Source organism: Homo sapiens, chromosome 3 (assembly GCF_000001405.40).
Source record: "Homo sapiens chromosome 3, GRCh38.p14 Primary Assembly".
In the NCBI taxonomy this organism is placed as follows: Eukaryota; Metazoa; Chordata; class Mammalia; order Primates; family Hominidae; genus Homo; species Homo sapiens.
The window spans coordinates 146,099,288-146,113,586 of NC_000003.12; the positions used below are offsets into that span (position 1 = coordinate 146,099,288).

Sequence of the window (14,299 nt, forward strand, 5' to 3'; positions counted from 1 at the left end):
CAGTCAGCATCATCCTGGAAATTTGGAAGGAATTGGTGATCACGTTGAAATCACTGAACATAAGGCCTTATCCATAATCACTAAATTCTCAGGACCAAAATCACTCCTCAAAGACATTTAAATTTTTGAGACACAATCTCGCTTTGTCGCCCAGGCTGGAGTGCAATGGCCCGATCTTGGCTGACTGCAACCTCTGCCTCCCAGGTTTAAGCGATTCTCGTGCCTCAGCCTGCCAAGTAGCTGAGATTACAAGCAGCTGCCTAATTTTTTTTCTTTTTTTTTTCTTTGTATTTTTAGTAGAGACAGGGTTTCACCATGCTGGCCAGTCTCGAACTCCTGGCCTCAAGTGATCTGCCTGCCTCAGCCTCCTAACGTGACATGAGGTGTGAACCACCGCACCAGCCTAAATTTGATTAAAATATTATATTACCAAGGAGGAACAGAACACTATGTAGTTATGGGAAAAGTGGGGTTCTACCAGCTCTTGACTAACTGGCACTGACAGTATCACAGACAGCTAAAACAGTGACTACACACACATAGTAAAGGGATTCATCTATTAAATTTGCCTAGGGAAAGTTACAGTGACCAACTTTTTTTTTTTTTTTTTTTGAGACAGAGTTTTGTTCTTGTTGCCCAGGCTGGAGAGTAATGGCGTGATCTTGGCTCACTGCAACCTGTCTCCCGGGTTGAAGCGATTCTCCTGCCTCAGCCCTCTACAGTAGCTGGGATTAAAGGCATGTGCCACCAACCCCGGCTAATTTTGTATTTTTAGTAGAGACGGGGTTTCACCATGTTGGTCAGGCTGGTCTTGAACTCCTGCCCTCAAGTGATCCACCCACCTAAGCCTTGCAAAGTGCTGGGATTACAGGTGTGAGCCACCATGCCCAGCCAACCAATAGTAATTTGATAATGCTTTTGCCCTGCCAGAAAATAATCTGCCTTACTACTCCCAAGAATAATGCTAGGTCATTAGATTATTGACTCTAACATTCAATTAAGATTTGTTGAAAGCGTAGTATTCGCTACACATGTGCTGGACCCTGGGGAAACAAAAGTAAACAAGACAGATAAGGTTTCTGTAATTCCTAGACCAAAGGCCTAGTAAGAGAGACCAGAAAACAGGCAAATATCATTCCTGTCCAGTGTGTGATACATACTGTAACAGAAGTAGCTCCAGAGATTACAAAAGCATACAAGAGACCCAAAAAGTAAAGACTACACTGACACCTAAAAGATAAGAAGGACTTAGCAGGTAGAGATGCAGCAGGTGGGAATTAGGGGGAGAGGATTCCAGGATATATAAAAAGCATGTATGTACAGAAGATTTGTAGACACAGCAACATGAAACTTCTGCAAAGTTGAAAGTAATGTAGTATTGCTGAGCGGAGAGGGAGAAAGGAGAAGAAATTGAATGTGAAGAGGGTGTGCATGTGTAGGGTTGGGAGTGGGAGAGTGAATGGGGTGGTAGATTGGTGGCCACTAAAGCAGGAGCAACATAAAGAGCCTTGTATGACAAGTTGAGGATTTTCAACTTCATACCTAAGTTCACAGAAAATCATTATATAGGTGAGTAGAGTGACAGGGTTTCTGCTTTGGCAGAATACTCTAGTTCCAGGCTGCTGGGGGTGTGATTGCTACTAGAAGGAGGTTGCAGGTGGCCTGAACTAAGAAAGTTGCTATGGCCACTGAGAAAATCAGATAAAACCAGCATGCACAGGAGTTAGAACAGAGGGCTTTTGGAGTGGGAAGTGCCTAGAGCCAAAACAAAACCCAGGTTCTGGTTAACCACTGGGTTATAAGGGGAGGTAATGCTGCAAGTCTTAATCTCTGGGTATATGTAACACAGAAATCTACCACTTGAGTATTCTGACCTGGAGCTTAGGAAAGACACAGGAGTTAGAGGAAGGATTTGAAAACCACCAGCATTGAGAGAATTCACTGATGAGGAAATGACTCAAATTACCCAACAATGTATATGGAAAAGAAAAGGAAGAGGCCCCAGACAGGCCCCTGTGAACATTTACTAAAACAGTAAGGATGAGGGTCACTACATGCACACAAACTGAGCTGTAAAATTTTTAAAATAAATATTTTGAAGAACCATAGAGATTGAAGAGGAAAGCCCAGAAAATAAATAGACAAAGCAGCAGAGCATCGTGGAAGCAAAGGGAAGGAGCATTCAAGTAGGACCAAACGAAATCAATGAATTGTCAGATGCTGTCTTTAGGTGAAATAAAAATAAGGGCTGAACAATGTCCACTACTCAACAAAGATTTCACAATGGACCTTAACAGGAGCATTTCTTACTGTGATGGGAAGAGGTGGAGTAGTGACAGCGAGTTATCTATATTTTAAGAAACTTTGGCTGTGAAGGGGAGGAGAAAAGCCAGGTGCAGCCTGGAAGGCAGTGTGGATTGAAGAGGATGTTCTACCTTGTGTTGGCTTGGTTTGGTTTCATTTGTAAGATGGAGGAGACTTACTGGTCTTTAAAATGCTAATGAGGAGATGACAGAGCTGGGGAAACTGATTATAAGATAGAGACTGAAGGAGGGCACAAGATAGAGATTGCTTTGTAGGAAGGCTGGAATGGGATGAAAACCAAAGGGGAAAGATTAACTAGAAGAGACGGGAATCTACTTCTTTCAGTTTGATGGAGCAGAAGTTGCCAGCATGCGTTTTCCTTGCATTTCTTTCCATTCACATAGCTTTTCCTGGAATTCAGATCACTCACTCCTCTGGAACAGAAGCCCACATCCCCCAGTATTTTCTTCCCACAACAAAAATCTGTTAATCCCTTTTCTAGGTACTTAAACCAGGCATTTCAGCATGTCAGAAGGTTGTTGTAAGCACAGTATTACTATATTTTTTCAATGCAATTTATGTTCCAGCTTGATTGGACCCAAGCAAAACAAACTTTTCATCTATAAATTTTGCAGTCAATAACATTTTTAGCAAGCTCAATTATACACATTTGAAACAGAAAGGCATCCAAAATTTTATTGGTCAAATTATGTCACTTTCATTAACTGTAGTTAATGAAATAAGAGAAAGAGGAAGCTTTCTGGCCATATTGTAATACCCCAATCTTAACAGTGTTGTTAACTTAGAAAACGGCAAGTCAGGTGAAACAAATGATCTCTTAATGTCCTGAGCAATTCCTAATGAGAAAGGATACCCAGTATGAGAGAAATGTGGCTCACTCCCAAGTTAGTTGTTATTATTTAATAAAACGCCAAATGTGCTGTAAATAGAATAAAAGGCTATCACTCTGCTGAGGAAAAATCAGTTTGATTAATTAATTAGTATAAAACCAGATGATATACTGTGTAAAAGATGAAGTCTTTATTTTAGCACCAAAATAAAGTCTTTGAAAGAAATTTTTAAAAATAAAATAGATGACATTCCACATATCAATCCATAGTCTATCTCCAAGAATTGGCCAAATAAAAGTAACTGTTACTTACCTTGGTGGGTCCATTTCCATTAATTGCCACTGGTAATGTTTCATAAAATGTATTCTTAGCTCTGGCTTTGCCATTTTCAAATTTTAAAACAACTTCATCTGGGTTAAAAAGAGAAAATAGGCTTTAGTAATTTAAAATACGTGTGTGTGTGTCTGTATTCGTGTGTCTGTGTGTGTATGTGTGTGTATCATCATTACAAAATTTCTCATGGATGTAATATTCCAAGTGCTACAACACTTCTAGTAACTTCATCTACTCCAAGCCAGCAGATACCCAAAATGAAGGATGACAGTGACAACAGATACAGATACCAAACTCACTCCAACCTGGCACCAGTAAAGTGATTGAGGTGCTAAGCCAGTGAGCTGTCTGTCAGAATAATTCATCTTGCAATCCTGCCTTTGCCCCTTCATAGTATTGTTATTCTTGCCAAGTTAAATTAGTAACTCAGTTTAGTCATCTATCAAATGGTATCCACGTCTGTCTTTTAGGGTTATTATGAAGATAATAACAATATATGCATGGTGAGTAGAATATTGTCTGGCATAAGCAAGGGTTCTACAATTGGCTACCAATGATAATATTTCCAGTTCTTAAAAATCAGACTTAGCACATTAAGCAAGATAAAACTCAAGTCAGAGAGGAGCAGAGCCATCGTCTTAAAATTTCCTGAGCACTCCAAACTAAACATTTTGCATTGTGGGAATTTTTTTTTTTTTTTTAGAGACTGGGTCTCACTTTCTGGCCCCGGCTGGAGTGCAAGGACACAATCACAGGTCATTGCAGCCTCGAACTCCTGGGATCAATCAATCCTCAGCCTCTCATATAGCTGGGACTATAGGCACGCACCACCATGCCTGACTAGATTTTAAGAATCTTTTTACTAAATGGACTGACTTGAAGTATTGATTGAATTGCAATATATTCTCAATTTTTATATGTATATTTAAAAGTATTTATGTGTTAATAAATTATATTTTAAATTTTACTGTATTGATTAGTTTTAATGTATTTTATCAAGATATATGTATCTATAATACACAGGCACATATGCATATCCACACGAGCATGTACACACACACACACACACACACACACACACACACACACACACTCTTCCCCAGTCTACTGTCTAGTTGTCACCAGTTATCTTTCAGCTGGGTCAAAAGGATCTACTCTAATACTCTGGGTAATTCGTAATACAAAGAATTTCACTAGAAAATGTGTAATAATAAAGTGTAATTAATTTATAAACTTATCTAAAATTCCCAAATGGTGAGACACTAAATTTTAAGTTACCTAAAGCCAGAAGCTTATCTTTTTCACACTAGTCATAGGAAATGATTTTAATTTAATGTACTGATGTTAAGTTCAAGTCTAGTATTTTTGTTAAGTTACAATAATTACAATATTTACACTGTCGACCTTAGTCACAGCCCCCAAATGGACATAACAAAGGAAAGATAGTTGAAAACACAGGTGTTTGTTTGTATACGTAAGCAATCCGGTATTTAGGAAGCATACCTACAGCTCCATTTAAGGTCTGGAAAATTTTGCATTTGTGATCCAATGTGATGTTAATAGCTTCCTAAAACATAAGAATAGAAATGATATTGAAAATGACAACAAAAACAGCAAACATTCCTATCATATTAATATAGTTTGTTCTTTGAGGGAATTTAAAGTTTAATATTCTTATATCTTAAGTGTCTAATCAAAATATTTAGATGACTAAAGTATTTAGCTAAAAGGTAGAAACTGCGATAGTTGCAACTCATTGCAAAATACACTTAAAGAAAATCTTGTTTCCTAATGACAGCAACTACAAACACACAAGTAACTTTTATATCTGTATCCAATATATACAGTAAATTTATTAAATATCAACTTATATTGGTAAATATGATAAAAGTATTCTCAAATTAGAAAATCTTGCTTTACTGTACTCCAGAGTTTCACTCACATCAATTTCAGGAATATTCTCTCTAGGGTCTATGGAAGACTGCTTATTGTACCCAACATTCCCTCAACTCCCCAATAAGGGAACTCAGATTTCAGGAGCATATATCTGCTTAAAATAAAAAAACAGATTTTCCTTTGGGTATTATGAGTGGGCACATACATACGTTCTGATCAAAGTATGAGAAACTATTTGGTAAGACTTCTAGAAAGGCAACTTAAAGAGAGTGATGAAACTGAGATGGCCTGTTTTTACTACCGTGCCTCTCTTAGCTGCCCAGAATACGAATGCAACGACTGAAACTCAAGTAGCAATTTTGGACAAGGAAGTAAGATTAAAACTGGGAGCTATGGACCAATGGTGGAGCAACAAAAGAGCTATCCCTCTTGACAGCATAAAGCCTCCCTAACAGCCTTGTGCTCCCTACTTCTTAATTACTTTCAATGTGACAGAAGGAAAAAACTTAAATAAAACATATTTCTTATTTAGACCACTGCTATTTTGAGTTGCTTTATTTATTACAGTTTAAGTGTTCTTATGAATAAAAGACAAAAGCCTGTGTCTATAGCACAGTCCCGTGGATCCTCAGGCTCTAACCTCTTAGGGATTTCATTATCATCTCTTTGAATCTTCAGGCTCCAAATTCTCAAATATTTGAAATCCACAAATTGGCTATAAAGTCTCCTAAAAAGGATCACACCCATCCTTACAGGCTCTATCCACTCTGGGCCACCAAACACTTGAACAATGACCAGGGCTTTTGGCTTCAATGTTTTCTCAACACCCATAATCTCCAGGCTCCAAATCTCAGAGGAAGGTCTCTGTCCTCAAGGGTATCACAGGTAATTTTCAAATTAAAAACTGTCTTTTGAGTGGCTTTATTCACATGTCATTTCAAAATACCAGAAAATGTGTTCTTTTAAAATTGTAGCCAATTAAACACATAAAGTCTATGTTATCATCATATGAAACAGAAAAAAAGTCCAGATTTTGGTTTTCAGGGAACCAAGGATCCAGTCCCTACAATGTCACAGACTATGTGGTCTCAGTTTCTCTACTGATAAAGTGTGGATACAGAGTCTAGCCTCTAGCCTATCTAGGATCAAAGAAGCTCAGAGAGGTACAAAGGGCTTTGCAAGGCTAAAGACTACAAATGAGAATACACTGCATTTTTTTAAACTGCAAAAGTTCACTCTGGTATCAAATGGCTTTGGTGTAGCTTCTGAGAAAACAATTATAGCTGCCAAGATGGAGTGAATACAAGAATACACATTTCTAATGCTCTATGTTAATAAATGACAGTTATTTATTCAAGAATATAAAAGAAGACATTGTCTAGAATCTTTAGGATTTCATTATTGTCTCTTTAAATCTCCAAGCTCAGAAGTTTTGATAATGTAACCTATTCTGTTATTTTAAGGCAGCCTAAGTGAGTATGCAGTGGAGGTAGGGCCATGACAGTGGTGTGAGGGCTGCCATTTCATTTTAGTATCAAGTCATTTCAATATGTGTTTCAATACATATAGCACTGCATTATATAGTTCTTCTTTCCTTCTGCCTGATCCAACCAAGTTCGGCAAGTTTGCCAACTTGGCCACAAAAGAGAAGCCATAAAGACATACTAAGCTAGTGCTGATATCCAGCCAGGTGACATAAACCAATCTCACCTATTAAAATATGTTTTCAACATTTTGAAATTCAGTTTACCATTTGCCATACTATCATAAAACCTTTGTTTCTGACCACTCCACATTAACACAATATAACACACAAAACAACCAAATCAATAAAACAAAAAAATTGCAGCTGTTACACACCCTTTTCAGTGGATCAATGTAAACTTTAGTGTAAAAGAGCTGATCATCATCATTATCCTGGAGATTCCATTGTTGAACTATACGGTTGACATATGGAGCATAGCCAATAAATCCTGCAACACAGCAGAGAGAAAGTAGATAATTTAGGATTCAAAGACCAAAACTGGTGTCATGTTAATTTCACTGACCAGTTGAACAGAGTTGTGAAGTCATGAAGCCTAATTCTTAGGCTGGAATTTCACAGCTCACCATGAAAGAAATATGAATTATTGAGTGCCCCTTGTTTTATATATAAACTCCAATAGAGTGTTTGCTACCAACTGCAAAACAGAAAATAACCAAACTCTTTTTAAATAAATGTGTCTCCAAAAGTAATTGACAAAAGAGGGAGAACTAATGTTTTCCAAGGCTCCTAAGGGAAACAGATTTACTAGGAAAAGAATAGACTGAGACAAGAATTTTTTCTCTGACCTTCTAAAAAGCTCTTCTTGGATTCTCTGCGGAGAACTCACTCTTTCTTACAGAATAAAATCTCTACTACAGTGGTTTTACTGTCAGTGCCAGAGATGCTAATGCAATCAAACGAATGCTGGATTTGTCACTAACTGCAAACATCCCAAAGAAATTTTATATCTAAGACATTTTGGAAATGTTTCCATTACTTTGGCCAGTCATTATTGTGCCTGCTAAACCATTTTCTGGCTAGGTTTTTTGTGTCATAGTCTGGAAAAAGGAAGTCTAAAATTGGATTGTTCTCCTTGGCCTTAAAGCATAAGCATTAAGACCGCCAATAACATTTGTCTATTAAAGACACGAACGGAATCATTTTTCTTGTCTGAATCTTCCTCTGAATTATGGAAATGCAGCCAAGCTGCTATGTTTCATTGACATTCAATACTTTTAAAAAGGAACCAATGTTACTCCTGTGAGTTGAAGAAAAATCTATTTTTTAACTGTCAAAATTAAAATTTTCTTAAAAGAATTAAAAAAATAGGTCCAGGGAAATTACTGTTATTGGAGAAAAAAGAAAAAATGAAAACATGACCAAAACCAATCAATGGTTGCTCATTTTTTGGTTCTTGCCATATAAATTTTTTTTTTTTTTTTTTTTTTTTTTTTTTTGGAGACAGAGTCTCGCTCTGTCACCCAGGCTGGAGTGCAAAGGCACAATCTTGGCTCACTGCAACCTATGCCTCCCGAGTTCCCCTCCGCCTTCCACCTCCTGCCTCAGCCTCTCAAGTAGTTGGGATTACAGGCACCCATCACCATGCCCGACTAATTTTTGTATTTTTAGTAGAGATGGGGTTTCGCCATGTTGGTCAGACTGGTCTCGAACTCCTGACCTCAGGTGATCTGCCCGCCTCAGCCTCCCAAAGTGCTGAGATTAGAGGCGTGAGCCACCATGCCTGGCATCAAATAAAAAAATTCTGGGGAGAAGACAATACATTTTTTAAATCCCATGGCCAATTTTCTGTGATGAAAAATGTACCACACAGAGACACTCAACATTTTCCAATGGTTTATATTACTGTTCTTCAAAAATTGTTTCCTTATTTTACAGACCCCAAATGTCCTCAATAAATGAAAAAAAAACATCTATTTTCACATTACATATTTTATGTGATTTATATTTTTCTATTAAAAACTCTTTTTGTTGTTGTTTTTGGAGATGGGGCTCTCACTCTGCCACCCAGGCTAGAGTGCAATGGTGCACTCATGGCTCACTGCAGCCTCGACCTCCTGGGCTCAAACAATCTCCTCACCTCAGTCTCCAAAGTAGCTAGGACCACAGCCATGTGCCACCATGCCCAGATAATTTAAAAAAAAATTTTAGTAGAAATGGGATTTCCCTACGTTGCACAGCCTGGCCTGAACACCTGGGCTCAAGTCACCTTCCTGTCTAGGCCTCCCAAAGTGCTGGGATTACAGGTTTGAGACACCGTGCCTGGCCAAAAACTATTTTTAAAAACTAAATAGTATGCCCACAAACAACTCATGTCCCTTAAATAACTGTAAATATGTGATCTATGAAATTATTCAAACTTTTATTAAACATATTTATATTTTCTGCCCTTCTCTAATTATTTTGACTACAGAAAGCATAAGGATGATGCTTCGATGTCCTTTTATGATTACTTTCCCACTTAAAACACCTTTTCCTTAATTAAACTGACTTACAACTGCACTTGCTTGCTAATTTCTTGCTGCTTCCAAAGCACTGTGAGTCTGTCTGAAACCTAACCACCTGAGTACATACATCACTATTTGAAATAAATTTACGAGATTTCACTATGCAAGTCATCTTCAGAAAAATTTCAACAAGTATAAAATAAAACATGTCTCAGAGTCCCATGGCTACATACTTCCTTTAAAAAATTGGTTTTAAACAATGGAGGACTTAGAATAAGTTGCAAGATTAGCCATATATTACTGAGGTCTTGACAGTATGGAGGCCATGATGTGGAAGCAGCACCCATCCATGAGCCGCATGCTCAAGCAGAGAAGTGATGGTGGGTAGCCATATTAGGGAGAGGCTTTGACGGTTCACAAGCTGGAAATCTAACAGAGAAAGACTGCTAAGGCAAGAAGCACAGAGTAACCAATATGATAAACCTTGGGTTCTCACTTGAATATGGAAGTTAAATCCAAAGGTGGTAGATAGATTTGGAGAAAAGAAAATGGTCAAGAGATCCCAGAAAGCATTATCTGTAGAAATATTGAGACGAAGAGGAAAAGAGATTTCAAACCAGGCAGTGCAAACTGGAATTTAAGGTTTCAAAAGTACAAAATCTATATGAGCTATCAAAGTTCCAAGGTACAACTGTGGGAATATGTTGATAAAATAAAGTGCAGGTGCAAAGAGCTGAAATTGAGGCATTACCAAGAAACTAAATCACTTCCTAGTGGCTAAGCAAAGCCTAGAACCCAGATATGCTGCTACCTGAAGCAGCACTTATTTTAACTAGCCTGGATAGTACTGGTTATATACACGTAGATCACCCCCAAAATCCATTTTTCCAATGTGGTTTGCAATTTGTACCCAATTTGTTTCTCTAACATGTCCTTCATCCTATTTGGTTATGTCTTTTGTCCCTATGTTTACATTAATCTCAAACTAGTAAAAATAAATTTGTAGCCATTATAATTTCCAAGGTCAAATTTTATTTAATTTTCTAAAGGCTGGACTGAGGAATGTGGTAATTCATTCCTTTAATCCGTGGTAGCACAGCTAATGCAATATTTTAAGTATACCCAGACACTCAATGTTAGATATTTTTCACTACTGGGTTCAAGACAAATCATTTATTTAATCCCATAATGTTTAAAATCAGATAATATTAAGTAATACCTATTCTTAAAAGCTACTTGATTGCGGACTGAGAATAATTTTTTTTCAAGTAAGGAAGCTTACTAAACTTATTATCCTAGAGCAAGAAAATTCTCAATGTGTCATAATTAAAGGAACTGGATCCATACTTTTCTTCCTTTAACAACAGAATATCTCTAGAAGTCACTTAAATTTGAAAAACATGAGTTTCCTCACTTATAATTTGGTAATTATAACATTTATATTACCTAGTGTTTTTAGGAACACCAACTCACATAATACATGGGAAAATGCTTTGTCAATATACTAATAATAAAATAAGGGTTATTTAAAACTTCATATCTAAAGTTACTACATCTACAAAAATGGTTGTTTCATTAGTCTTTATAACTTGCATTAAACTTTTCTTCCAGTATCTAACTCACCTCCTGAATTCAGATAGCGTTTCCCAATGTGCACAACAGGATACTTGTCTGCTAGTCTTTTATCTGGCCACAAAATTCCATCTGCTGCAAAGACCACTTTGTGGTTTGCCTTTTGGAATTTTTTTAGAACTTCTTCTGGACCACCAGCAAATATGACATCAAAGCTGTTCAATGAGGAAAAAATGTGTTTTAAAATACACTTGTCAGAATCTAGGCACATAAACCATGAAAAGTTCTCTAACAAAAGTCAGAATCAAGAATACAATGCAAGATTAATACCTGTGCCAACTATTTACACAGAACACCAAACAAAATTTCTCTCAACTTAAATTATATGAATTGTATTGAATTATTAGTTTACATTAGCAAATGAAGTCCAAATAAAAGTCAGCTTTTTTAGTGTTAGCCTTAATTTTTTTTTCAGGAATCACTTATTCCCAAATTGAAATTCTGAAACAGCATTAAAATGTTAGAAATACAGTTACTTGTTGTATAACTTTATAATACAGATAGAATCATTTACGGAAGTTGCCATAACTGCCTAATATTTCAAGTAAATTTGTACCAGTCCATTAGTTTCTGAAGAATTATTTTTGACAAAATGTGTTTAACTGCTAAATGTCATCAATGTATGTTTAATATCTGAATGACTGTTTAGCATGGAATCTTAAAATAAGTGCGTTCAGACAACTGCAGGTTTTTAAAGCTCAATACACTTGGGAGAAAATTTTTGTAAAAACTGACACTATAATTTAATTTTTGTAAAAACTGACACTATAATTTAATTAATATAATATAATTTCATTGATTTTTCTGATGACTTTCTTCCTCATGGTTCATTCACAGAATCACAATGACTTAACAAAATGTGAAGTATAACAGCCACTATCTAAAATTTTTCTACTCTGCAATAAGTTCTTTATTCATTACAATCACAAATTATTTTACATTTTTTTACATCAGTGCACCTTAAGACCAAAGGTTTCCAATGATGATAAATTAATGACTTACCATCCCAGGTAGCTAACAGCATAATTGTAAAGTCACTCACAGCATACAATTTGAAGTCTGCCAGGTGGGTTTCTAATCCCACCTCTGCCACTTGATATGAGAATAACCTTAGGACAAGTCACTTAACCTCTTTACACTTAAGTGTAAAGTATAAAATGGAGGGAAAAGTAGTATCTATATCCTCAAGTTATAATTTAAAAAAATTAAAAATAACTCCTGGCACACTGTAAACACTGAACAAAGTTAAAAATTAACATGAAAGGGACTACAGTAAAGGGAGAGACAGAGGAAAACTCACTTCAAAGTTTTTACAAATGTGTATGTTAAAAAATTTTATTTTTAGCCAAATACTTGTACTTTTGAAACTGAACTTTAAGTTACAATAAAATTTTTCTGACTGAAACCTCAAACTTTGCCCTGTTTATTAAAAAAAAAACTGATTAATCTGACATTACAAAACACAACACTGTACTTTTTCTGCTAAGTACAACTGATTTCCTCAACCGGATTTAACGGTGATATTTTCCTCAAGACTATAAGTTGTTGATAATTTTTTTTTTTAATAATGAAGACTGGGAAATAAGACCAGTTTTATGGGTAATTAGGCCATGAGAAGTGAGGCAAATAAACTAAAGTCTCTGAAAGAGCGACTACCATGCGAGTGATAAACAGACCCTTTGTGCATTGCCTGGAGATGGGGAAAAATAGCTTGTGATGTCAGAGCATCTTACGATTGGAGACTCTGACTAAACTGAGTCTGAAATTTTGCAGGTAGCAGCATGCATACAGTGTGGCAATTCCTCAAAGATCTAGAATCAGAAATGCCATTTGACCCAGCAATCCCATTGCTGGGTATAAACCCAAACAATTACAAATCATTCTTCTATAAAGTTACATGCACACATATGTCTACTGCAGCATTATTTACAATAGCAAAGACTTGGAACCAACCCAAATGCCCATTAATGATAAACTGGAAAAAGAAAATGTGACACATATACAACATGGAATACTATTCAGCCATAAAAAGAATGAGTTCATGTCCTTTGCAGGGACATGGATGAAGGTGGAATCCCATAATTCTCAGCAAACTAACACAGAAACAGAAAACCAAACACCACGTGTTCTCACTCATAAGTGGGAGCTGAACAATGAGAATACATGGACACAGAGAGGGGAACATCACACAGTGGAGTTTGTCGGTGGGCGGGGGGCAAGGAGAGGGAGAGCATTAGGACAAATACCTAATTCATGCAGGGCTTAAAACCTAGATGAGGCCGGGCACAGTGGCTCATGCCTGCAATCCCAGCACTTTGGGAGGTCAAGGCGGGCGGATCATGAGGTCAAGAGATCAAGACCATCCTGGCCAACATAGTGAAAACCCATCTCTACTAAAAATACAAAAATTAGCTGTGCGTGGTGATGTGCGCCTGTAATCCCAGCTACTTGGGAGGCTAAGGCAGGAGAATTGCTTGAACCCGAGAGGTGGAGGTTGCAGTGAGCTGAGATCATGCCACTGCACTCCAGCCTGGTGACAGAGTGAGACTTGGTCTCAAAAAAAAAAAAAAACAAAACTCTAGATGATGGGGTAATAGGTGCGGCAAACCACCATGGCACATGTATACCTATGTAACAAACCTGCACGTTCTGCACATATATCCCAGAACTTGAAGTAAAATAATAATAAAATTTAAAAATTAAAAAAAGTTATAAATGCACTTTTGGAATGTGAGTGAATATTTTTTGTCTTTGAAACCCTAATGATGGATACAGATTATATAAACAGTATAGCTCAAACTATTAATAAATGTCAGTTGTTTGAAAAAGAGTTATGGCAACTTTTATAATTTAGCGTTTTATAAGCCTGTATTATCTTTATAACAAAACACAATTATTTTAAAGCAAAAAGTTAAGACAAAAGTTATCACATAATTGCCTTTGAAGAAAAATTTCACGTTGCTGAAACCTTTCCTATCTCATTCGAGTAGCACTGCTATTTCTGTGTTTAAATACTTTAGAAAAGTTATTTGAACTTACTTAAAACTTCTCAAAGGGCAAGGAAGGTTTCCTACTTAAATTTATTTTGGCTGTAAAAAGTCAAATTGTCAAATTTAAAAAAATGCACACAGGTGTTGCGGGAAGTCAGGGACCCCAAATGGAGGGACCGGCTGAAGCCATGGCAGAAGAACATAAATTGTGAAGATTTCATGGACATTTATTAGTTCCCCAAATTAATACTTTTATAATTTCTTATGCCTGTCTTTACTGCAATCTCTGAACATAAATTATGA

General features: G+C 36.6%; 1 protein-coding gene across 5 annotated transcripts in view, besides 1 other annotated feature; it reads right to left on the reverse strand.

Moving 5' to 3' along the window:
• The window catches only part of PLOD2 (procollagen-lysine,2-oxoglutarate 5-dioxygenase 2), a 91,745-nt gene that overhangs the window by 29,848 nt on the left and 47,598 nt on the right, over positions 1-14,299 (reverse strand). For all 5 annotated transcript variants that reach the window (NM_000935.3, NM_182943.3, XM_047448319.1 and 2 more), the window contains 4 exons: positions 10,998-11,161; positions 7,245-7,357; positions 4,992-5,055; positions 3,468-3,565 (listed from right to left, as the gene is read on the reverse strand). In NM_000935.3, the coding sequence (NP_000926.2) occupies positions 3,468-3,565; positions 4,992-5,055; positions 7,245-7,357; positions 10,998-11,161 (439 nt within the window). The remainder of the gene's footprint in view (positions 1-3,467; positions 3,566-4,991; positions 5,056-7,244; positions 7,358-10,997; positions 11,162-14,299) is intronic.
• Positions 10,972-11,172: a silencer, noted in NCBI's record as "peak4856 fragment used in MPRA reporter construct". NCBI's record gives its function as "represses an SCP1 promoter by STARR-seq MPRAs in K562 erythroleukemia cells {active_cell/tissue: K562}" and the evidence as "EXISTENCE:reporter gene assay evidence [ECO:0000049][PMID:32103011]".